At 47.7% G+C, this 26,257-nt stretch overlaps 2 protein-coding genes across 3 annotated transcripts in view, besides 1 other annotated feature; one reads left to right on the top strand and one right to left on the bottom strand.

The window, feature by feature from the left end:
• Positions 1-5,652, bottom strand: part of EDAR (ectodysplasin A receptor) — a 94,750-nt gene extending 89,098 nt beyond the window's left edge. For both annotated transcript variants that reach the window (NM_022336.4, XM_006712204.2), the window contains exon 1: positions 5,392-5,652. The gene's annotated coding sequence lies outside the window, so the exon portion shown is untranslated. The remainder of the gene's footprint in view (positions 1-5,391) is intronic.
• RANBP2 (RAN binding protein 2) overlaps positions 1-26,257 on the top strand; it is a 1,122,820-nt gene that overhangs the window by 264,087 nt on the left and 832,476 nt on the right. The gene's annotated exons all lie outside the window — the stretch shown is intronic.
• Positions 4,125-4,626: an enhancer, noted in NCBI's record as "H3K4me1 hESC enhancer chr2:109604149-109604650 (GRCh37/hg19 assembly coordinates)". NCBI's record gives its function as "activates a minimal SCP1, AML or CMV promoter by ChIP-STARR-seq in naive H9 embryonic stem cells {active_cell/tissue: H9 hESC(naive)}" and the evidence as "EXISTENCE:reporter gene assay evidence [ECO:0000049][PMID:30033119]".

Genomic DNA, 26,257 nt, shown 5'->3' on the forward strand with positions numbered 1-26,257 from the left:
CTCCTCCCTCGTGATCCATCTGTCTGCCTTGACTGCCCTGGAGTTCCCAGAGACAGGTATCCTCCTCCAGACTGACTTCCCTCCTAATCGACCTGCATCTTCCAGATACGAGGAAGGAAATCAAACTTTCCAGGTGCTGGTGGCTCCGTGCGGGACGGGGCAGGGAAGCCACCTTCTCTCCAACTCCAAAGGCCATATGGAGTCAACAGGAACAGGTCTGGCATGCTGGCCAAGGGCATCAGTGATCTCTGAACCCGTTCTCCAACAATTTTGCCAACTGAGCCATCAGAGAGCCACTGCGTCCCCACTCCATCTCACACCCGATGCTGGAAGGTGTCCCTCTCTCCAAGTGAGGAGGAAGCGAGTGCAGCTGGCCAGTGGCTCTGCGACTGTGGGAGTGTCCCAGCAGGGCTGCAAGGGGGGCGACGGCGATGTCTGTTGCTAAGTGTTCTTTCTCTGCACAACTTATTGAGTCTTGATAATCTACTTTCAGATTTTTGGAAGTGTAATCATGTGTTTCAGGTTAGGGTCTTCATAATTTTTCTCAGAATGGATCCCTTTGGCATGTGTTAACGGCCAAGGGAGCAGGTGTTGGTGAAAATGGATCATTCCTCTCCTGCCACCCTTCCTGCTGCCTGCCCTTCCTGCCCTGCACCTCAGCCAAGCCAACTCTCCCAGGAAGAGGCTACTTGGAGACCCAGCTCCTTAGAAGCAAATTACAGCAACCGGCGTGGCATGGGATGGGGTGGTGTGGGCACTGACTGTCCCAGAACAACACAGGGCGTGAGCCACCATGGCTGAACTTCCGCCCTGACTTGACTTCTGTTTGCCTTTCCATCACCCTCAATGAGAGCCCAGCCCCCTTGCCACGGCCCGCTCAGGCTCCTGGTTCTCCTCTCCTCTCCTTCTGTTCAACCCTCCTTTCCCTCTGCTCCGGCAGCATGGCCTTCCTGCTGGTGCTGGGACATCTCCAGCTCACCCCACCCCAGGGCCTCCTTTCTTGCGGGTGTCCTGGTTCACTCCCTCACTTCATCCAGGTCTTTACTCAACTATTTCATTTCCCAAGAGGCCCCCACTACTACCCTGGGCACCTTCTTTCTACCTGCCCTGCTAGTTTGTTTGTTTTTTTTTCATGGCGCTGGATTTATGCATTATAGCTTCTCTCCCTGCAGCAGAATCTAAGCTCTGTGAGTGCAGGGATGTTCTCTCTCCTCACCCATGGGACCACTGTGTTACTCACTACATCCCAGCATGGTGCCTGGCATGTAGCAGATGCCCAGAAAACATTTGCTGAATGAATGAATGTGCACTAAAACCAACTTGAAATCCTGCCTGCTTCCTCCTGTGCATGCAGGATTCTGTGCAAACATGGGATTGGAAATATGGCAAATGGAAGTTTTAAGAGAAGAGATTTGGTAACCATCTGAGAGTCGTCAAAACAGTGCATGCCCTCTCATTTTTTGCTTGCAGTCTGGTTTTGCATGTCTTTCTTCTATCCTAAGAAAGTGCTTTCTCTCAGGATTAAGGTGTTGTTGGCAGAATCAACTCTTTTTTATTTTCAGGAGACTAATACTGTATCTTATTTCAGTATTTGGGCTCACCTTTTAGTTGCCTATATCTAGCTATTGAATGGTATCAGTTAACAACATCAGCCTTAAGCCCACCACTAAGCTTGGCTTCTGTGCTACACTGCGGGCCTCAGGGCTGTTACTAAGAGTAACGTGACTGTGGTTGTTATTGCCCTCATTGCTGATTTCGTCCGACTCACAAGTGAAGGCGCGCCTTCCTACTGTGTTTGGAGCAGTAGGTCTGATTGACCGTGAAGTGAGTTAAGCTGGCATGAGCTCGCAGGGTGGTGCAGGCAGGGCTACCGCCACAGGTGCATCTTCCTCTGTAGGGCTCCTTACGGCCCACCTGTTTTCCATAGTCCTCTGTTTTCTCGGAAATGGAAAACAAAGGCATCCTGGCTGGTTACATGTGTACGTAGGTGTATAAAATGATGGGCATTTCCAGAGTGTGTCTGGGCAAGAGGATCTGGGCAAGGAAGCAGGACCTCCAGCTTCACCCACATGTGTCTGCTCCTTCCTGGGGTCCAAACAGTGTGTTTGCCACCCTTGGGCATCCAGCATTTGAGAAATAACAGGTGTCTCTGCCCCCAGAGAGGGTAGCTTTGCTAACTAGGATTTGTTTGCTTATTGACTTAGGGGATGCTGATGTTTGAGCAGCCCCCTTGTCCCTAACTGTGTCATTGGAACAATTGGTGACCTTTCTCTGACAAGAAGGATGAAGGAGCCCATTCATTCATTCATTCATTGGACATATTTTCATGGAGTGCATGATGTCCTTGGGGTGTGCTATGACTGAAGACACTTCAGGTTGTAGGATCCCTTAATACATGACCTAATGAATGGCTGATCCCTGCCAAGACCCAGGGCAAAGCTTTTTTCATAGCTTTGACTGTACAGGGTCAGCTATCCTTGGGTAATGCTTTGTGACACTCTAAGGGCAATGATGAAAAATTAAATATGGTCAAGCTCATTTGTCTCAGGGGCCAGTGGGCTGTTGGGATGCCTGAGCCCCAAATGCCATTTTGAGTTTTTTTTTAGTTACTAGACTATCTTAGACTGAACCACCTACAATGGCCTATATTTGACAGTTTTTTTCACTATATAAAAACTACAAACACTCTAACTTTTATCAGGAGGGTTCACAAAGAACAAAACTGAGACTGTTTCCTCTTGATCCCTCGCCTCTGAGGACAGGAGATGAGTGTGTCTGGGGCTGACACGACCCTGGGAAACTAAGATACAGGAGGGGGAGTGTTTGCTTACTCCACTCTTATTTTTATAATCCCTGGTGGCTGTCATTGCACCATCTCCTTGTGGGGGCAAATGTGTCAGTGTTGGAGGCAGAGGACACAGGTTCTAGTCTCAGCCCCTCCAATTATGAGTGACAGGCTCCACACGAGGCCTGGGCATACTGAGTGCTAACCTAGACCAGTTCTTGGTGTTCCCATAATCATTATGAGCTGTGGGACTTCGGGCAAGACAGTGAACCTCTCTGAGCCTCAATTTCCTTATTGGGAAAATAGAGAAGACATTCATGACAACGCTTTGTAAAGTGCCATAGAAATGTACAGCAGAGGTTAAATGATTAGACATCAGCTTATGTTTCCTTGCTTTATTTTTTAGGAAAATAGTAATCTTTGGGACTTAAAAAAAATTCCTTCCTGCAATATACGAATTCAGTAAGGACAGAATCGTAGGCATTGAGATGGAGGCGGCATACTCACAGGAAAGGCTGGCTGGGGCTTTTGTCCCCTAATTGATCTAATGTGCTAAGTGGGCTTAATGTAAGTTAATTAATGATACTATTGGTGGGTGGAATACCTAGGCAGAGCCTCAAACAGCATCAAAGGAACGAGCAGGCAGGTGTCATCCAGGATAATTGAGGCATGCAGGCAGTCACTAGGCAGGCTAGGAGGAGGGTGAGGGGAAACTGAGCCCAGCTGAGGGGCTGAGCCACTTAAGCAGCAAGGCTGTCTGCCAAACACCATCCTGTTTACAGCTCCTGTATTTGAATTTCAGATTTGCTTGAGTCTTTGAAGCTGGGTTCCTGGGCATTTCCTTGAGAATAAATTCTATTCTTTGGAAACCACAAAACGCACTCACTTGGACCCAGAAAGGAGCGTCAGGTAACCCAGCTTCCATCTGTGGGCCTATGAGACCTGAGGAACTTTGACTAGAAGAGGCTCCCCATTTAACAGAGGCAAGTAGGTTTTGCGCTCCGTGAGATGGGGTAAGACCAGGTCTGTCTGCACTCCGGAGCAATGTTGGGCTGCCGCCCAATGGCAGGCACTGGGCTAGGCAAGAGGGTACCATGATGCCTGAGAAACAAAGATGAGCCCCTGACATGTCTGTGCTTCACAAATGTGTATGCCCAACAAAATGAAAGTCCAGCTCACAAAAGCAAGAAACCAGGTAGTGGCCAGGGAGTGAAAATCAAGCATTTCAGGGAAAGTGTATTTACTTTTTCCTCCCAAAGACTGGTCCTTCCAAGATTATCCTCCAACTGTGCTGTCACAAATTAATCCTCCCACAGCACAGCCTGGCCCACTTAGGGATGGGGAGGGGTACAGTGGAGACCCCCGGCCAATCGCCACCAGGATCGCCAAACTTTCCCAGCCGTGAAGGGTACACGTGGACTGTCATCGGAACGAACGCTTATTTCCAAGCCTTGACCAGAGTCACTCTCTTTTTGGTGGCCTCTGTCAAAATGTATCTTTAAAGGTTTTAAGTGGCTATGACTTACAAATCTCAGAGTATTAAGCCAGGCAAGAAACATTCTCTATTTTAGATGCCTGGATCCCTTTTTTCCTTCAGTCTATTATGGCTCTTCACTTCTTTGTTACACTTTCACTCTTGCTTAGAAAGTGTCTCAAAAATGCCACTTGAGAGCCACAGAGCAGTGGCCTGGGGACTGGGGAAGAGGACGGTGGTGCTCCTGTCTCTCCGTACGTCTCCTCACATGCGTGTACCCCTGGCTGTGTGGGATTGCCCACTGACCGGCATCTGCCCTGCTTGTTGATTTTAACTGTCCCTCTTGTTGCTGACCCAGCACAACATGGGCAGGGAAACCCAGTGGGAACCTCGCCTGCTGACCTCCCTGCCCAGCCACCCGCTTCTCCCTGAGCTGACATCTCAAAGCTTGGCTGCTGCAGGAGGCTGGGAATCAGAGCCGACTGAATCAGAGCCGACTCCTGTCTAGGAGCCCAACCCACCCCACGGTCTGTCAGAGTGTTGAGAGGAACCTCTTGGCTGGAAATGAAAACCTCAATCATCACAAATAGGTACCCACTCCCCTCCTTCTCTCCCTCTCCCCGCTCCCCCGCCACCAACACAGAGGCCAGGATATGGGGGGTCTCAGACACGACTGGAAACCCCACTTGGAAGGTCTCTTAGGTCACAGCGGGTACGCAGAGTTGGAGGCAGGTACAGAGCCCAGCTAGAGTCCCTGCCGCGCCTGCCTTCCCCAGTGAGCCGGGCACAGGGGCAAACCTGAGAAACATACTTTTCACGCTCCCTGGAGGAACCCGTTGCTTCAGTAGCCCAAATCTTAAAGCCTGTGAAGCACACACAGAATTTGTCTCCCTAACCAAATGTGCAACCAACAGCAAAACAGGGTTTCTGATGTTTTTCTAAAACAAAGGAACAATCTCAGGTCTTAGAACTGGTAGCGCAGACATACTGCAATCGGTAAAGCTTGTTCAAACGCAACCCAAAAATGACATGCATTTCAAAAATGCACCCAGCCTCTCTCCCAGCCCATGACACCTCCGTCTCGGCCACAGCTGAAGAGTTTAGAAAACCAGAGGAAAGGACCAGGGCTTACCTGGCTTCTGTTGGAGGTCAGCTTCAGTCCCAGCAGAAGATGGGTCTATGAAGAAAGTCAGGTACCATCCAGTTCTGGGTGACAGGCTTCACAGGTGGCCACCGTGGCAGCCCTCTCAGAAGCAGGTACTCTATGTCCTTAGGGGCCAGCAGGGCTGCCTGGGACCTGGCACACCTCTCTGACACTAGCCCCGCTTCCTTTCCGTTTAAAGGGCTTCCCGGGAACTCTTCCTTGACCGCTCCCTGCCCTGTCTGCAAGTTTGGAAACTCAGTCCTTGCCGAGGGGCTTTCCCTCATTGCAAACTCACCTGCACCATCTAGAGGTCTCTCCCAGCACTGGAGAGGCTGGAGCGGGCACGTTCAGCCCTGCTGCCATAGGTCCCTGGCACACCTGGCTCTCCGGCCGTCTGCCCCTTAAGAGATCTGTTGGAATGCGTAAAAATCATGGATTTTTTTTTTTGCAGGGGTGGGGGCCTTGCTTCTATCAGAGCCTTTAGGCGTGGGAGTGCTAAAAAGCTAAACTAGCATTAAAATATCATTAATCAAAGCTTGTTCGTAGAAGGACCCCCCACTGAGATGGCTACAGGCATGGGTGCCACTGCACGGATTCAGCTTCCAACATGTCTGTTCACATTCTCACCCATCCCCCGCACATCCCTCAGGGTTTGAGCCACCAGGACTGCTCTTCCTTTCCTCTCTCTGGACACCTCACACCACCAGTGTATACCCATGTAACTTCAGATAACCATACACACCCCCCGTATAACTAGGTAATTAGGAAGCCATTTGAAACATCAACATTTTGAAAGGACATACCTTTCAGTATTGGGCAATTATTTCTCAAAAAGTAAATGATTGGGGGGGGGAAAACAGCCTTAAAATAATGTCATTCTCTTGTCATTTTCTCCCTCATTCACACCTACACAGATAAATACAGGAACAGAGCAGCTCCTCCAGGCTAGATTTCTGTGTTCTCCTTTTCCATCTTGTCCCCTCTGCCTTGGAAACCTACAAGGTAACTCACACATGAGAAAGTAAGAGCTTAAGAAAGAAACAGTCTGGGCTCCGTGGCTCACACCTGTAACCCCAGCACTTTGGAGGCTGAGGCGGGCAGATCACTTGAGGTCAGGAGTTTGGGATCAGCCTGGCCAACATGGTGAAACTCCGTCCCTACTAAAAATACAAAAATTAGGCCGGGCGCGGTGGCTCACGCCTGTAATCCCAGCACTTTGGGAGGCCGAGGCGGGTGGATCATGAGGTCAGGAGATCGAGACCATCCTGGCTAACAAGGTGAAACCCCGTCTCTACTAAAAATACAAAAAATTAGCCGGGCGTGGTGGCGGGCGCCTGTAGTCCCAGCTACTCGGGAGGCTGAGGCAGGAGAATGGCGTGAACCCGGGAAGCGGAGCTTGCAGTGAGCCGAGATTGCGCCACTGCAGTCCGCAGTCCGGCCTGGGTGACAGAGCGAGACTCCGTCTCAAAAAAAAAAAAAAAAAAAAATATACAAAAATTAGCCGGTGGTGGCATGTGTGGAGGCTAAAGCAGGAGAATTGTTCGAACCCAGGAGATGGAAGTTGCAGTGAGCCGAGATTGTGCCACTGCACTCCAGCCTGGGCAACAGAGCGAGAATCTGTCTCAAAACAGAAAAGAAAAGAAAAGAAAAAAGCAGACAGAAATGTATGGGGCTGGGGCAAGGACCTAGACTGTAAAGGACTAATTCTGCCTCCACAGAGATTAAGCTGAACCAGAGTTACTTAGCTGACTTGATCCTTGTGGATGATTAATCTAGATAATATAAGCTCCCAAACAAGAATTTTAACTTGAATTTTCAGGTTTGGTTGTCTACCCTGCTCATGCCGAGTTCAGACTGAGGGTCTGTGATAAATTAAAGTCACTGAAATTATTAAATTAGGAACCTGGGAAAATGAATGGGAGGTATTCTGGGCTAATCTGTTCTACTCCATATAATTTTTACTTTCTGGTGTGCTCACAGTGTGTTTGAGGTTTGGGATTATTTTAGGTGTAACTAAAACATTTTTTCTATTGGAAATTAAGTGGTGATTTAAAATTTACCAAAAGGAATGATACTGATATTTCCCAAAGAGAGAGAAAAAAGACACAAGAAAAAATTAAAATGGCACAAAATATGGATGCTGTAATAGAAGCCAAGGGAGTTTTTTCCTCTCTTTGAAAAAAATCCAAACATCATGGCATTAAGCAAGGTTATGGATGGTTATACTTGAAGTCTGCCTAGTCATCATATCCAAATGAAAATGAGTATATAATTAATTCAGTTGATTAAGAGAAAGAATGAAATGAGAAATCATTGCTTATCTTCATCATGTAAAGCTCCAGAGCTTTGAAGATATGTGATTTTCTGTTTTATACATTTCCTAAGAGACTGAGGCAGAAATAGCAACAGGTTATCAATAGCATTTTTTAAGTAAGAAAATGAATCAAGACTGCAGAACATGGTTGGGTGAAGGGGGTCTCCTGGGGCTGTGTTCTAAATTTAGAACAAATTTAGAAATGATGAATGTAATTTAGAACAAATGAATTGTAATTTAGAACACATGCTTGCTACACATAACAGCCCGGCCAGCCACCTGCCCCCTTCATGAGGTGTGCTCAAATGCATGGCCAGGAGTCTTATGGAGGGGCACAACAGGCAGGCTGGCCCCAGCTCTCAGCTCCGCAGCAACAAAACTTCGCAAGTGATTTTAGAGAGTCAATGGACTCCCATCCCTGTAAAAAACACTCAGGGGTTGGTAAGAATTATCTTGCAGATCAGATAATTTCCAGTGAGTGAAACAGAGCCATATTCTGGTCATCGTGATTTTAAATTTGTGTCTTTTATTTTTTTGGTGAGACAGAGTCTTGCTCTCTCGCCCAGACTGGAGTGCAGTAGCGTGATCTTGGCCCACTGGAACCTCTGCCTCCCAGGTTTAAGCGATTCTCAGCCTCCCGAGGAGCTGGGATTACAGACATGTGCCACTGCTCCCATCTAATTTTTGTATTTTTAGTAGAGACAGAGTTTCACCATGTTGGCCAGGCTGGTCTCGAACTCCTGACTTCAAGTGATCCTCCTGCCTCAGCCTCCCAAAGTGCTGGGACTACAGGTGTGAGCCACCGGACTCACCTTAAATCTGTGTCTTAATTACAAATCTCATGTTGTGTGAGCAGAAAGAAAATCCTTGATACCCATGTACCCCATCAAAGTAGCATTCTCCTATGCCATCATGTTCATGTGTTTATTCATGCAGCAAATGCACGTCACGTCTTCTACGTGCCGGTACTGTTCCAGTTGCTGGGTAGATCACAATGAGAACAACAGTCAAAATCGCTGGCCTCAAGAAGCTTATGCTCTGTTTGGGGAGGCATAGAGTAATCAAGTTATGAAATGGAGATGAAAAGTACTTCTTGGCCGTGATAAGCAAGGGTGCACAGGATGCCTGGATTATTTGTGTTTGTATGTGAGGGGATTATCAGTTGGCTGGTGACAGTTTCCTGCTACTAATTACTGTCTCAAAAAGTGGCAGGGGAATCAAACACTCCAAAAGCAAGATGCTCCTGTCTGGCAGCTGGGCCCTGACATATAATTGGTTTCACCTAACAACTCACCACAGCAAGTAAACTTCTGGTTACCTGCAGGTGAAGTCTATCTCAGAAAACCTTCCAGGAAATGACATTGCTCAAATCCTAACACAGTGTGTGTATATTTGATGAAATGTTTTTATGCTCATGGTGACACCCACTAAGTTATTCAGAATAAAATGATCACAGTTCTGTCTATAGTGTAGAGTTTGCAGCTTCAAATTTGTCCCACAACTGGGACTGTTTTCTGGAAGAACGTTGCCCCTGCCTCGTGGCACAGTGGCTCCCAGGACTGACCTGGCCTGGCTTCTTTGCTTTCCTAAAATGCGTTTGTCCCCAGCTCTGTCAGTGGTAACCTCACAGGGCTCTGCCCTCCTCAGCACTGGCCAGCTAGTTTTTAAAGTATCATCTCAGAGCACCCGCTACTCATGTGGTCACAGTTCCATAGGCAGAAAAAACAGGAATATAAATATTTGTGATTTAAAGTCTCTCTTAGGAACCACACCTTCCTAGGCTTGCAAATGTGCCTAAAATATGAGAATGGAATTGGGTGATACGGCGGACACCAGCAAGCTGATGTGGGGGTAAGGGGGTGTGAGGGGCGGTGCTTTGGTTGTTGAGAAGGAAAGTTGACCAAGACTTGCGAAGGAAGAAGGCAGTCCTGCAGAGTTGGGCAGAAGGTGTTTCAGATGGACCAAAGGTCTTGTACAAAGGTCCTGTGGGGCCCAGAGCCAGGTGTGCTGAGGAAACTGACAGGAAACTGTGGCCACAAAGCAGGGAGCTGGCCTGGGAGGCAGCTGAGCCCAGCCCAGGAAGGGTGGTAGAGACCACATTCCACGTGGGGGCTGGACAAAAGGGTATGGATTCTATTCCAAGTATATCATGATTTGAAAATGATGGAAACTTGTTTTAGAAGTAAAATGGGCCACTATCCTTAGCAAAATGAGGAAAGGGAGAGACTAAGTCTGGGGGAGTATTTGCACAGAGGGAGGGCCTTTAGGGTGTCACCTAGATACCGGGAGATGAAATGCTATGTGAACCATTGTCAAGCTTGGGTGATCTGTCCTCCCCCAGCATAAATTCAGATGGGACAGCTCCAGGTCAAAGGCAGAGGAAAGAGCTGGGCTTTGCGTTGATTGTACCCTATTGGAGAATGAGATTCTGCATTTAGTTATTTAACTAAACTTTGAACACTGACCCCCTGCTACTGATTAAACAAAAGCCTGGCTTTCCTTTGGCTACCTGCCTTAGCTTGGGCTGCTATAACAAAAATATTGTAGGCTGGGAGGCCTCAACAACAGACATTTGTTTCTCCCAGTTCTGGAGGCTGGGAAGTCCGAGATCAAGGTGCCCAGCAGACCCAGTGTCTGGTCATCTCCCATGGCAGATGGGGTGAGGCCGCTGTCTGGGGTGTCATTTACAAGGGCACTAATCCCATTCATGAGGCTCCATCTCTAGCCTCCATGACCTAATCACCTCCCAAAGACCCCACCTCCAAATACCATCACCTAGGAGCTTAGGATTTCAATATATGAATTTCAGGGGAGACACAGACACCCAGACCACAGCACTTCCCATTTGCCCAGGATTCCCCCCATGGACACCTTATTAAAAATGCAAGCTGGATTTGGAACACAGCTGTCAATAATGACTCTGGTCACATAAAGGAAGGACCATAATGAACCACCTCCATGGATGAAGGAAAGCTTCAGGCCAGGAGCTTCGTGCAGGGCAAAGGCATGCCCTCTCCCGTGGCCTAAGCTCTCTCTGCTCCCCAGCCAGGGTTTGAGACGGCCCCCACCACCTCCATTATGTAAGCAGTGAAAACATAATTGAAATTGATCCTCGCTGAGAATGGCTTTACGAGCTTGAATAGTGCAAAGGTTCAAATACTAAATCTTTTTTACGATCTGTAATATTGTCATTTAGCTCAACAGTACACATCACTATGTTTTTCTAATAAAGGAAACCACAAGAGTATTATAAAACCTATTTGCACTATACCAGAAAAATTAAGAGGGGAGAAAACTGAGTTTAGAAATATGAAATATTGATATCTTCATTTGAAAATCAACAAATTCATCCTTCCAATAGGCAAGTACATATTTCTATCATAAATCATGGCTCCGGGGAAAGGGGATTATGGGGTCATGGGATTATCATGCTATTAACCAGTGGATATCTAAAAGCAGGGAAGTATGGGTCCATAGTATAAACATAAAAAATTATCTGTGCATTGGGTTATATATATATATATATATATATATATATATATATCTTTTTTTTTTTTTTTTTGAGACAGAGTCTCGCTCTGTCGCCCAGGCCGGAGTGCAGTGGTGCAATCTCGGCTCACTGCAAGCTCCACCTCCCGGGTTCACGCCATTCTCCTGCCTCAGCCTCCCGAGTAGCAGGGACTACAGGCGCCCGCCACCACGCCTGGCTAATTTTTTTGTATTTTTAGTAGAGATGAGGTTTCACCATGTTAGCCAGGATGGTCTCGATCTCCTGACCTCGTGATCCACCCGCCTCGGTCTCCCAAAGTGCTGGGATTACAGGCATGAGCCACCGTGCCCGGCCGCATTGGGTTTTATTTATTAGTATTTATTAATCAATGGATTTTTTTCTAGAGACAGGGTCTTGCTCCATCACCTGTGCTGGAGTGAAGTAGTGAGACTGCGGCTCACTGCAGCCTCAAACTCCTATGCTCAAGTGATCCTCCCACCTTGGCTTCCCAAGTTGCTGGGAATACAGGTGTGCCTGGCCAAATTAATGAAATTAAAAATCACACCTATTACAACATTTTGCAGGTAATCTGTAAGGCAGAGGAACGATTGATTTACAAGGGCTAATGTGTTCTTGCAGGGGGCATGTTAGTTCTCCCTTACTCTTCACCTGCTATGGATATGAACCCATTGTCCAAAGATCCCCAAAGCTGTGGTCAGCAAAAGAAAGCCAAAATGGGAATAAACAGGCATTTTAACAGGAATTCACCCTGGCTGGCAGAGCTGCTGCCTGCCACCTCTTCCCAGCCTCCCTTCTCCAGCAGGAATCTCCCAGCTCTGCTCAGAGCAATATGCCTGGCTAAATGGTTGCATTTCTTAGCTTCCCTTGCAGTTAGATGTTGCCGCGTGCTTCAGAACTGTCCAATGAGCCACAGCAGGTGTCAGAGACTTCCAAAAAGGCTGCCAACTCATCTGGGAGGAAGCTGTTCTGCCCCTTTCCATGCGTCCCCTTTGCTGCCACCTGGAGTGTGAACATGACAGCTGGGTAGACATCAGAGTAGGACGGAAGGAGCTCCAACCCCTTGTGCAGCTGCCCCACCAGGCCCAAATTACCTGCCTCATTCATGGGAAAGAATAAACCCTCATGTCTTTCAGCCACTGTAGCCAGGCCTTATTAATAAAGACTAATTAATTTGCAGTTTCTCATTATGAAAAATTGGGATATGCAATTTATTCTTTTCTAGATAAGCAAGGTTTAAGAAAGTCTGCTTTATGGCAATTTTAGCTTTCATATCAGTTCTGCTGGGGTATCATTCATAGTATAAAATGATTCCCCAAGGAAATGAAGTGTTGACTAACTGGAAAGATTCTGATTTGGGAAGAGGGAGTGAAGAGTGAGAGTTCCCTGCTGCCTAACAGTGGGGATAGGTGCCAGGCTTCTGGTGTTGACCAGGTTTGAACCCCAGGAAGGTCTGAGTCTGGGTCTTGGTTCCACCCTAAGCCACACAGTTTAGGGATCTTTACACCCCAGGTGCAGGGATGTACGTTTAAGTCCAGCACAGTTTCTCACAATCCCAAACTGGGCTGGACACTAGAGAGCTCTCCTCTACTCATGCCTTCAAGGTGGCTGGTAATGTCCAACCACACTCCTTGGGAGCAGCTCAAAGTAAATAAGAAAGGCTCCAGATAGGTGAGTGGCCACCAGGACACTGGCCTCATTAAGCAGGCCCATTAACGGTATGCGCCATGGACTTCAACAATGAAATACATACCCCAGACGGGATCTAGGGGATTCACTGACTGGGAGAGAGTATGTGGAAACTTCTACTTCCATTCCCCCCTGCCCATGAGCATGGAGCCCAAGCCTGCTGTGCTGTTGTCCTGTGCCTTTGAATCAGTGATCTTACCAGCAACATCCATCTGCACAGGCCAACAGTGTGGCAGTAACACAGGAACCCTGAAGTCTCGGTGGCATAATACAATCATAGCTCGTTTCTTGCTCATGTCACATCTGATGCGGGCTAGGTGGCTTTTCCAGATGGTTCTCCTGCCAGCAGTGACTCAGAAACCCAAACTCCTTCCAGCCTGTGGCCCCACCATCTGCCTCTTCTCAGGTCAGACAGGAGCAAAGGCTTGGATGAGCACATGGGATGCTCAGGACCAGGCCCAGCAGTGGCACACCACTTCAGTTGGCTAGCATCTACTCACATGCCTCCAGGCTGACTGCTGTAAGGGTGGGGAGTGCAGTGTTTTTGTGTGTCCAGGAGCAGAAAATGGGATTCAAGTGTGTAACTAGTCTCTGTTGCCAGAAACTTTCCTAAACTCCTCATTCTGTTTAAACAAAACCTCTAGCCAGTGGGTCTGAAGCATAAGATGTCCTAGTATGGCTGGGCGCAGTGGCTCACGCCTGTAATCCCAGCACTTTGGGAGGCTGAGGTGGGCAAATCACGAGGTCAGGAGATCGAGACCAACCTGGCTAACACGGTGAAACCCCGTCTCTACTAAAAATACAAAAAATTAGCCAGATGTGGCGGCGTGCGCCTGTAGTCCCAGCTACTCAGGAGGCTGAGGCAGGAGAATGGTGTGAACCCAGGAGGCAGAGCCTGCAGTGAGCTGACATTGCGCCACTGCACTCCAGCCTTGGAGACAGAGCAAGACTCTGTCTCAAAAAAAAAAAAAAAAAAAAAAAGATGATGGTCAGTAAGGGTTTAGAAATGTCCAGAGAACACCTGCATTTCCAACCTTTGGCATACCTAACAGATAGAAAGAGGCAGGATGGCTGGCTGGATATCTGGCCCTGGAGCCTGAAGACCTGGTGTTAAGACACTGCTCTGTGGCCGAGCACGGTGGATCACGCCTGTAATCCCAGTACTGTGAGAGGCCGAGGTGGGTGGATAACGAGGTCAGGAGTTCAAGACCAGCCTGGCCAAGATGGTGAAGTCCCGTCTCTACTAAAAATACAAAAAATTAGCCGGGCATGGTGGCAGGCTCCTGTAATCCCAGCTACTTGGGAGGCTGAGGCAGGAGAATCACTTGAACTCGGAGGGCGGAGGTTGCAGTGAGCCGAGATCGCGCCACTGCACTCCAGCCTGGGCCACAGAGTTAGACTCCGTCTCAAAAAGCAACAACAACAACAAACAAAAACACAAGACACTGCTCTGAACATCCTGGCATGAGCAAGCTGGCTAAGTCCTCAGCCTCGGCAAGTATCAGTGTGCATCTCTGAATGATGGTGATTGTCTTTTATGGGTCATGCTGAATTGCAGTGAGATGGTTGTATCCACTCTTCAGTCTACCGGAACTGTTGCTCTCCCTACACTCTGGGATTGTTCTTGCCTAGGTCACCAGGGACCTCCTAATTGCTAAAGCCAGTAGATACCTTTCAGTCTTTATGCTCCTGGAGCTTTTTAATGCCATGCAACAAGACCATGATCTCTTCTTCCTCTGTGAAACCTGACTCCTGGTTTATTCTTGGTCTCCTGTGGGCCATTCATCTCGACCTGCCCCTCGGATAATGCTGTTTCCAGGGTCCCACTGCTAGGGTCTCCATATTCTCCCAGGCTCATTGTTTCATCAGCCTGGCGACTCCTGCACTTAATTTTGAGCCCAGGCTTCGTCTTTTAAGCTTTGATTCTTGTATTCGTGGAGTGGAAAACATCTCGTTGGGAAGTCTCAGAGATGCTGGAAACAACACCCTCAACACATCCAATCCTCCTCGTTTCCTGAATCAGCCAGGACCACCACTAATCCTCCTAAGGAGAGATCACAGAATCATTTTCAGCGTCTTCTCTCTCACTGTTTATCCTGCTTCTGACTTTCTCTTCCTCAACCCAGCCTCTACAGTGATTTATCTAAAATGCAAACTCCGAGCCCCAGCCACTGACCTTAATAATGAAGGCACCCTCTCACTGGCCCCTGCCAAGTGTTCCTGGATGCAGACCACAGAGCTCCACAAGAAATTCAAAGATCTGGATTTTTTTTTTTTTTAAGTAACATCTTCCCATTTTTAAATATGGCAACTTATCTGTGTGGCCCAAGTAAACACAAAAAATGGCTTCAGCCTGGCTCAGGCCCCCAGGTGGCCAGTTGGTGTCCTCTAGCCTGAAGGCTGAAAGCTGGGCCCGTGCCTCCTCCACCAGAGCCTGGTTCCCTGCTAGCCTCACTGTCCCCAAGCTTGCTTTGATCTTCAGACTCTAACGGCAGCAAAAGGTTTGTGGTCTCAAGCCATTCTGTTTTTCCAAGATGTGATTTTGCAAATAAATTTATCCATTTTAGTGCTTATTGTCGAGCTGACTATAGAGTTTAAAATTCTTATTATTGTAAGTATGTGAAATATGTGGTTGACTGGAGATGCCTGGGTGCCGACAAGCTGCATTCTCCTGGCTTGGCTTCTAACTTGCTTAACCTCCAGAAGCCCTGGGTTCTTCATCTGAAAAGTGGGAAAAATAACAGTACCTACTTCATAGGATTGATGTGAGCATTAAATGAGGTAACATAAACATGGGGCTTAGGCTGGAGCTTTGCATGTTAAGTAATGTTAGCTCCATTCCTATAATTAACAATTACGCTTATCTCTTTCATTCCTTAACATTACCTTTGGCTATAAGTGAAGTGACTTGTGGATTCAGCAGCTACACAGCAGCTCAGAACTAAATGATCTGCCCCATTTTCGGTAATTACCCAGATGACTTTCCCACACATCTAACTGAGCAAGGTGACCCTGGTCTTGATCAGAGATTAAGTACTTGCTTTATTGAGAGACCAGGCTGCTAAACGGACTTTTAAATCTTTCGGCACAAAAGCTTGCCACAGTCTTGGATATGGCGACGCCACATGGAGATTCCTGGTAGGCTGAGGGTGAAAAGCACAGGCTGTGTTATGTACACTTTTCGGTTTCCACATTTCCTAAATATGTGTGAAATCCCTGAAATTAAGGATTTTAGGCTTCCTAGAAGGCAAAGATTAAGTAGTTTTTTAAAAAATTACGAAATTTCCCTTTTTATTATTACAAAAACATGGCGGGAGGAGGCATGGGGAGAAATGAAGTAAGACTGGATTTCTGACTTTCCATCAGTGGCAGAGGTCAAGGGCTTGAACCCAGGGCTGTAAGAGGTGGCTCCACAGCCCTGGGGTCCATCACAGCAATGTTTAGTTCAGTCCCATCTTATGTGCCTTTGCCCAGGCTGCTTGCTGCCTGGTAAATGACGACCTGCTCTCAAAGGCCTTCTCTAAGTTTTAGACAAATCTGTGCTTCCTTTATCAAAACTGGATCTGGGAACAGCTACAGTGCAGAAATGCAGCAACGTATCTGCAGGGCAAGCACCTGAATCCAGAGTGTGTATCCTGGGGAAAAGTTCAACCTATTGGGAATTAGAGTCAGGGCCATAACGGTGTTCCAGATGAGGAGGCAAATAATACATTTGGATGTAGATGACTCAAGAGCCACAGGAGAAATGCAAATAAAGTCCTAGGCCGGGCACGGTGGCTCATGTCTGTAATCCCAGCACTTTAGGAGGCTGAGGTGGGAGGATCACTTGAGCCCAGGAGTTTGAGCTCAGCCTGGGCAACATAGCAAGACCCCCTCTCTACAAAAAATTTAAAAATTAGCCAGGCATAATGGTGTGCACCTGTAGTCCCAGCTATCGGGAGGCTGAGGTGGGAAGACTGATTGAATCTGGGAGACAGAGGCTGCAGGCTGCAGTGAGCTATGGTCACGCCACTGCACTCCAGCCTGGGTGACAGAGCAAGACCCTGTCTCAAAAACAAACAAACAAAAACCCAAAATAAACAAAACATAAATAAAAAGTAAAGCCTTAAAGCATGCAACAGGTCAAGTTTCTTCCAGTTGGAAACTGGGGACGGCTTCTTGGGAAAAGAGCACAGGAGTTAGGCCTTGGAGAGATAATAACAACATATAATAAGAAATAATAATGTCCAGCATTACTGGGCATTTCCCATGAGCCAGGCACTAAGCACTTTATGTGACTTATCTCATACAACCCTTACTGCAACCCTATGAGATAGTCTTATCCATCACCTCATTGAGAAAACGGAGGCACACAGGATGAGGAATATGTCCCAGGTCACGTGCCTAGTCAGGAGCAGAGCCAGGACTCAAGCTGATGACGAGACTGTTGGGTCAGAGTGCTGAATTCCTTCAGTGCCCTGCCCTGAGGCCCAGGTGAGGGACTGGGTTCCATGTGCTGTGAGCCTCTGAGTTTAGCATCCTTCCAGGGGGAAGTAAAGAGCAGATCAGAGAACCCTCACCCCATTGTAGGTTTCCTGTTTGGTTCTGATAACTTTCTCCTTATCAGCAAGGGTGCTCAGAGTTTCATTGCTACATGAGTGGCTCGTATAAGAAAATCCTAAAGGAATCAACTGTGCTGCGGGTGTAAAAGTAAAGGCACTCACAGCAAGTCCAGGAACCATTCACTCCTGAGGCTGAGCTCCAGACCACACAGTCTTTGGCACCATGGGACAATCACAGAAAGAATCAGGACCCTCAGCTGAGAAAGCTCCTCCCAATCAGCTATGTGGCCAATGCTGAGGCCAAGGAAATGGCTCGTCCAGGACACGTGGGGTCACAGTAGGGGCAGGGCAGCTTTCACACAAGAACAGGCAAGTCCAGGCCTGGCTCTCAGATGGGTGGCAGGCAGTAACTGCAGGAGCTGGGCCAGCCCCATGGCTGGCTGGTGGCAAAGGGATGGGCAAGAGAGAGGAGCTGGACAAGAAGGGAGAGGGGGACCCTCCCACTGTGCCTGTAAAAGTGGGCATACCAAAGAGCACAGCAGCTACTGACTGCCACGTTGTGGCCCTGCTGCATGAAGATCCCTCATGTCCCCTGGCCTCCCTTTTGGAAAGGAGACACACAGAATTGGCCCTAAATTCTCCACGCTACTGTCTTTAGGAGGGCTTATTTTTATAATTTGCCATTGAAGTTTTTTTGTGTTTTTGTTTGTTTGTTTGTTTGTTTTTTGAGATGAAGTCTCTCTGTCGCCCAGACTAGAGTGCAGAGGCGCAATCTCGGCTCACTGCAAGCTCCGCCTCCTGGGTTCATGCCATTCTCCTGCCTCAGCCCCCAAGTAGCTGGGACTATAGGCGCCCGCCACCACGCCTGGCTTTTTTTTTTGTATTTTTAGTAGAGACAGGGTTTCACTGTGTTAGCCAGGATGGTCTCGATCTCCTGACCTCATGATCCGCCCGCCTCGGCCTCCCAAAGTGCTGGGATTACAGGCATGAGCCACTGCGCCCAGCCCATTAAAGCCTTTAACGGAGCCCAAAAAGCTATTTTCCATCCAAGAGTAGGGAGTTGGTGGCTGCCATTTGCTGCCCCTTGTGTCCCATGGCTGCACTGCACCCTTGCTGTCCCCCAACTCTTTCTGCTCCTGCCTCCAGGCGATGCTTCCAAGAGGCCGACCAATGCAGGAGGCCCCCAGAGGAGGACCCAGGTTTCTGGCCCTGGCCCTGTGCTTGCTCCTGGAATGGTGCCTGGGGCCAGCTGTCCACCCCTGGGTTCCTTACGCTTGTGAGCCGGGATTCCACTTCCCAGCTTGCTAGGCTCTTAGGTTTAATGCAAAGGGCACCACACTTGCCTCCTTCTCACTCACTATGTCTCCCTTGAACCACTGCTTTGGCTTCTCCCAATGTCTCCTTGCTTCCATCCTCCACTCTCAGCTGGAGTGGCCTTTCTATGATGTTTTTCCTATCAGGTCACCTCCACATTTAAGACTTGGCTCCCCACTGCCCTTGGAATAAAGTCCTAGGTCACTGCCTTAATTACCACACCTCAGTGCACCGAGCCCTTCACAACCTGGCCCAGCCATCTCTCTAACCTCACATGGACCTAGGTTCCCTCTGCTCCCCGGCCACCCTCCAGCAGGTGGGAGAGTCCCTCAAGCACCAGGCACTGATCAGGTTCTAAAGCTAGACCTGCCATTGGGGTTTTGGGTGTTTTTGTTTGTTTGTTTTGGTGGGATAGATAACAATCCTTCATTTCAGTTATACCAAGACACTCACAGTTTGCAGAAAGCTGTGTCATGCTGTTCTCCACTTCTAGGCTCCTCTGATCAGAACACCCTTACCCATTTTTACCTATGAAGTTCATGCCTCATAATACCCCTTTACTAAAGGCTTTTAAGATTCCAGCAAAGTGGCTGGGCATGGTGGCTCACACCTGTAATCCCAGCACTTTGGGAGGCAGAGGTGGGCAGATCAAGAGGTCAGGAGTTCGAGACCATCCTGGCCAATATGGTGAAACCCCGTCTCTACGAAAAATACAAAAATTAGCTGGGCATGGTGATGCTTGCCTGTAGTCCCAGCTACTCGGGAGGCTGAGGCAGAAGAATCGCTTGAACTCGGGAGGTGGAGGTTGCAGTAAGCTGAGATCATGCCACTGCACTCCAGCCTGGGTGACAAAGTGAGTCTCCCTCTCAAAAAAAAAAAAAAAAAAAAAAAAGATGCCAGCAAAGTACACGTGCACTTTTCTGTCTTCTTCACCAGCTGTCAGCTCCTTTCAGGCAAAGAACAAGACTTTATGAGCTTAGCACAGCACTTGGCACATAGTAGGCCCTCAATACATTCCTGAAAGGATGCATGAGTGAATGATGGACGGTTGTTGCCATCCCTTTTAATTTTTTTTCTTCTTTTTTTTTTTGAGAAGGAGTTTCTCTCTTGTTGCCCAGACTGGAGTGCAATGGCATGATCTTGGCCCACTGCAACCTCCGTCTCCTGGGTTCACGTGATTCTCCTGCCTCAGCCTCCCAAGTAGCTGGGATTACAGGTGTGCGCCACTAGGTCTGGCTAATTTTTGTATTTTTAGTGGAGATGGGGTTTCATAATGTTGCTCAGGCTGGTCTTGAACTCCTGACTTCAAGTGATCTGCCCACCTCGGCCTCCCAAAGTGCTGGGATTACAGAAATGAGCCACTGCGCCCAGCCAGTTCTCTCATTTTGAACTAGGGCTTACATCAAATACCCATGTCTCCTTAAGGTGCAACTCCAGCAGCTCTATTCTGCAGGTGGGAATAAAATGTGCTAGCAAGGGACATCGGCAGGCAGCTCTCAGGGTGTGAGATATTATATGAAGAGACACCAGCAGAGTTGTTTGTTTAGGTCTTGGTTTGCCTGCACTGGAATGGTCTTCCCTTACTGCCTCATGGAGTGGTGAGGTCTCCCAGGTTCCCCGAGGTGCAGACATTCTAGGCTCTTCTAGCTGACATCAAAGAGGGATGACAGGCATTGAGGGAAGTGAAGCACTTTAAGGACAAAGAGTGAATGGGAGATAAGCTTTCTCTATTTTGTGTATTCTGAAAAGAATGTTGACATGTGCATATTTTTGTAAAATAACATAAAATCATTTTGGCAATAAGGGTGTAAGCCCAAGAGACTTGGTCTTGTATCTCAGGAGCTCATGGCAACTTCGTAAACCAAGTTTCCTGAACTGAAGGGATGACCTTAGGACCCCTGATGGCCCACCCTCACGTGCTGTGGGTGTGAGGGAGTAAGGGAGCCTGAACTCAGGGAGGCTGCTCCCAACAGGAGCCAAGCCAGCTTGTTCCTCATAGTCCAGAGGTTCTCAGAATGGTCTCAGACTAAAAGCATCAGCAACACTCAAAAGTGTCTTAGAAATGCACATCCTCAGACTGTATGCCACCTCCTGAAGCAGACACTCTGGGATGGGGCCCAGCAAGTTGTGTTTTAAAGCATGCTTCAGGTGTTCTTGTGCCCATTTAGGTTCGGAAAGCGCTGCCAGAGTCCAACCATTGGGCATCATCTTTGGGAACAGAGTTGGGGGCACAGGAGTGGGTTCCACCACTGCAAAGGCACAGTGAGAAGCGAGAAGAGGGTGGAGCAAAGGGTCTTTCCTGGGCCTTTTCTCTCTCCACTCTCTCAGGTTAATTCACACTCTTGGTTCTAGCTCTTACCTCCTGGAAAGAATCTCTCATCTCTGATTTCTGCCCTTATTTCTTCCTTGAGCTTTCTTCATTCCCCACTAGTCATTTAAATCTGCGGAGCCTATCACTGCTTCAAATCAGAAATATCTAAAACAAAACTCACCATCTTCTCCCAGTTTTATTCATCTGACTCCCTGTGGTCATGATTCCCTCCCTCTCCTAATTATTGAACAAGGGCATGCTCTGTGCTGGGAGAGTCTCTATTGTCCACGCTATCACTAATTCTCACTCACATATGTTCAGAGCCCGGTGGTTATTTTCTCTTCTCCCTCTTCCACAGGCCCAGTCTGATGGGTTTTCATATAATCTCTCACACCTGTTCTTTCTTTCCCAGGCCCCTGGCCTCTTCACTAGTCAAGACCCTCTTCATCCTAATCCAACTCAAGACATATGTATTTGGTACCTAGAAGCTAGAATACCCTGTGTGCCAGGCCCCACTGTAACAAAACAGACTATTAACATGGGCCTTGCTCAGGAGGAATCTGGTTCCTGAAGCACTGCAGCAATCTATTAATTAACCTTCCTCCAGACTAATCTTTCTAAAATACTGGGAATTCATTCCCCTGTCCTAAGTTTTCTATAATGCATCTCCATGTTGCACAGAAGGTCAAGTCCAAATTCCTGATCTCCACAAGTAGACCTTCCACAGCCTGGATCTCCCTCTCCAAGCTGACTTTCCAGAACTCCCCAAACTGCCCTCCAAGTCTCAGGGTCATTCCTGCCTCTGGTTCTTTGACCTCCCATCCTTCTGCCTGGTATGCCATCTTCCCTTCCACCCTGTCTGCAGAAGCAGTTTGCCTTTCCCTACCTCTCTGAAGCCTTCCTGGGCAGTCGCAGTGTGCAACACTCTCTTCCCCCTCGTCTGGCACGTAGTACATACTGGTCTTTGCTATTAATTGCCTTTCAATATGTATTCATGTTCCCTAAATTAAACTGCGGGCACACAGCTCTTACAACCAGCGTTTTGTTCCACCTCGAGGAGCCCAGCTTCCATCTGGCAATGACAGCTGGAGCATGGGGCACTGGGCCACAAAACTTTGCTTACCCTTCCATGCTCTGGCTTTTGGCCGTTATCCCTGTATTTTCCTGGAAATCAGCTGTAACCACTTCACATTTCAACAGCTGACGTCGTTCTCAACCACAGCCCAGTTCAGCCTGGGGAATGGTGCCCACCGCCTTTATCCAATTCCCAGGGCTTCGGAGTCGTGGAGCTGCCCATGTGTTCAGCTGAAAAGAGGAGAGGAAGCACAGAGGTCACATGAGCCAGTGGGTCACGTGAGAGGTTCCTACGGCCAGCCCGGAAGTGGCGGTGTTGCTTCCGTGGGTTCCATTGGCCCACCGGCAGTCACGTGGCTGCCCATAGCAGAAACGTGTGTGGGGTTGCGGGGGAACAATGTGAACGCGTGTGGAGTGACGCTACTGGCTGAAACACTTAGCAATTATTTGGGGGTAATTTTCTTTTTCTTTTTCTTTTTTTTTAATTTTTAGACAGAGTCTCGCACTGTCGCCTAGGCTGGAGTGCAATGGCGCGATCTCGGCTCGCTGCAACCTCCGCCTCCTGGATTCAAGCAATTCTCCTGCCTCAGCCTCCCAAGTAGCTGGGATTACAGGCGCTTGCCAACACGCTTGGCTAATTTTTTGTATTTTTATTAGAGACGGGGGTTTCACTATGTTGGCCAGGCTGGTCTTGAACTCCTGACCTCATGATCCGCCCGCCTCGGCCTCCCAAAGTGCTGGGATTACAGGCATGAGCCACCGCGCCGGCCCTATTTGGGGGTAATTTTCTTAAGGCCAAACACACACAGGATAATTTCACGTGTATTTTCAGGTTAAAATACACTTGCGAGTCGTGGCAGCCCAAGGGAGTGACCTCAGTGGGATGTGGGGTTCTGCTTTTGGCCTAGCTGTGTGTACCCTGGGAACAAAGACTAAATCCCCGAAGTCCACAGAGCTTTTGGTGGGCGGCTAAGTGAGAGCGGAGGCCCCTCGGGCTGCGCAGAGGCCCAACAGCCCTGGCTGGAAGGTATTTTCTAGCGCATCCCAGGCACTGCCCGTCCTCCAAGCATTGGGTGGATTTCCTCCTAAACCTTCTTAGGGCAGCTATTGCAATTATTTGAAACTTTAAATCTAATTGATGTTATACAAACATGAGGAAGACGGGTTATGAGTGAAAAATACATTTTTAAATAATAAAATAAATTTGATTACTTTGGAAAACTTGGCTAGGGTGAATTGATTAAAAATGATTGTTAAATTGGTTGGTTGTGAGACAATTGTAGGGGAACGGGCTGGGGAGTTAACAAAAATACAGAAGACTCTGTACTCTGATTGCTTCAAGGTGTCTTAAAACCTAACTACACTGTAAAGAAGCCCGACCTGGAAATCAGCTTTGACGCATTGCATATGTGGATTTTGCAGAAGGAACCGCAGAGACTCAGGAAAGGGCCTTGGCCCAAGTTCAAAAGATTGGCAAATATGTGTTTTAAGTTAAAGGGGTTATGTATGTATTTTTTTAGAATGATTCCCCACTTTTACTATTTTGATCAAACCACCAGCTAGCTCTCTTTCTAGCAGATCAGATAGACACATACCATATTGGGAACACACCTCCATCAGTAGTGTGCTAAAGTTGCTGGGTGTATGGCTGTTTGACTTAGCTCTGCAATTTCTGGGAACACTCTTCCTGGCTAAACAACATGTACCTATAGCTTTTAGTACTTTCAGGGTGAGGTTGTGACCACTTTCAAACTAACTCATCCCATATTTACTGCCACCTCTAATTTAGTAAAGGCATACTGCTGCCCTGGAGGTCTGAGAGTAGCCTGCCTGGGGCTGTTCCACAGATATCAGGAGCAGATGGCAGAGCTCCCCTCTGACTCCCTCTCACATAGCACAGCCTTGGTGTGGGGGACAGGAGAGGCAGGGAAGAAGGAGAGTAATCTTCAGAAGCATGGGCCCTTCACCCACTACTTTGTGGGTAGAAAGATAAATCCCTGTTAGTAACAGATATTTTACTGGAATGAATATGGGTAGAAATGGACATCTTTTCTGTGCGTTCTTAGAGATAAAGATTGGTACTCTGATCTGTTGGAAATAGCAAAAACAAAACAAAACAAAAAACAGCCTTCTTGCATGCTCACATAATCAAGAAACCACAAGAAATCTAAACCTGTTAGCAGCTTGCTGGGAGAACCACGTTGGGGCCAGAGTTATTAATACATTTCAGGGTAAGCCGACCATAGCAGGATGATTTCTTCTTCTATGTTTAAACACCATGCTTTTAAAGAGTCGATTTTTGTGAAATGGTAAATTATGCAGGGAATGAGCAACCCTTCAACATGAGAGCATTTTACGGAACTGGCCCCACACTGACACACGAAGAGTTGAGAGTTTGTATTTCCCTCCATTCCTTTGGAAACCTCATGTACCTTGCTTATGCCCTTGCCAAATTTGATCCTGTGTTATAGTTACCTATGTGCTTCTGTATTTTCACTGCTAGAGAGTAAGCTCCTTGAGGTCAGGATAGATCTGAGCCCCCAGACTGTGTAGCAGAGAATGTAAGTGCATGGTAGATGCACAATTCGTGTTTGTGGAATGAATGGATGAATGAATGAATGAGATGGAAGTGGTAAGGAGATACCATAGATGAAGGAGACTGAACTGTAGCCAACTTCCAAATCACAACCAGCAAACACTGCACCCCAAAAACAAGCTCAATATTTTAACAGAAACAATTTTGCCCTTTCCTGTGACCCATGGCAGACACCAGGGCAGGGACAGAGACCTGGGCACTTGGTACATGCCCTGTCTCCCAAGTCAGAATGTGGTGCTAATGAATGGTTGAGCAGCTGCTAAGAAAAGGGTAAAAAAAAAAAAAAAAAAAATCCATGGATAGGCTGGGTGCGGTGGCTCACATCTGTAATCCCAGCATTTTGAGAGGCCGAGATGGGCGGATCACGAGGTCAGGAGATCGAGACCATCCTGGCTAACACAGTGAAACCCCGTCTTTACTAAAAATATAAAAAATTAGCTGGGTGTGGTGGCGGGCGCCTGTAGTCCCAGCTACTCAAGAGGCTGACGCAGAATAGTATGAACCCAGGAGACGGAGCTTGCAGTGAGCCAAGATCGCACCACTGCACTCCAGCCTGGGTGACAGAGCAAGATTCCATCTCAAAAAAAAAAAAGAAAAGAAAAGAAAAGAAAAATTCCATGGATAGTTACCTCTCCTTTATATCTAATACTATTTATATTTTATATACTTAGATAAAAAGATACCTAATTAATTTCAGTGGGGAATTTTTGTTATAGGAGACCTTAAAAATAATAACATAGGCTGGGCATGGTGGCTCGAGCCTATAATCCCAGCACTTTGGGAGGCCGAGGTGGGCGGATCACGAGGTCAGGAGATCAAGACCATCCTGCCTAACATGGTGAAACCCCGTCTCTACTAAAAATACAAAAAAATTAGCCTGGCATGGTGGCAGGTGCCTGTAGTCCCAGTTACTCTGGAGGCTGAGGCAGGAGAATGGCATCAACCCAGGAGGCAGAGCTTGTAGTGAGCCGAGATGGTGCCACTGCACTCCAGCCTGGGCGACAGAGTGAGACTGTCTCAAAAATATATATATAAATAAATAAATAATAGTAATAATAACATATTTTTTCCTTCCACTTATAAGAGCAGTCTGGACTTCTGAAGAAAATTTGGCCAATATGGAATAATATAAAAAAGAAATCAAAGTTCATCATCTTACCACCCAAGATTACCACGGTTAACATGCATCTTTTTTTGTTGCGTTTGTTTGTTTGTTTTGTTTTTTGAGACAGGCTCTGTCACTCTCACCCAGGGTAGAGTGCAGTGCTGCCATCCTAGCTCACCACAGCCTCCAACTCCAGGGCTCAAGCTATCCTCCCACCTGAGCCTCCCGAATAGCCTCCACTACAGGCATGTACCACTACGCCTGGCTGACATTTTTACCTTTTTTTTGTTTTTTTTTTTTTTGCAGGGACAAGGATCTCTCTATGTTTACCCAGGCTGGTCTCAAAGTCTTGGGCTCAAGCCATTCTCCCACCTCGGCCTCCCAAGGCATGAGCTACCACAG

The sequence above is a fragment of the Homo sapiens genome, chromosome 2 (assembly GCF_000001405.40).
Source record: "Homo sapiens chromosome 2, GRCh38.p14 Primary Assembly".
NCBI classification, from domain to species: domain Eukaryota; kingdom Metazoa; phylum Chordata; class Mammalia; order Primates; family Hominidae; genus Homo; species Homo sapiens.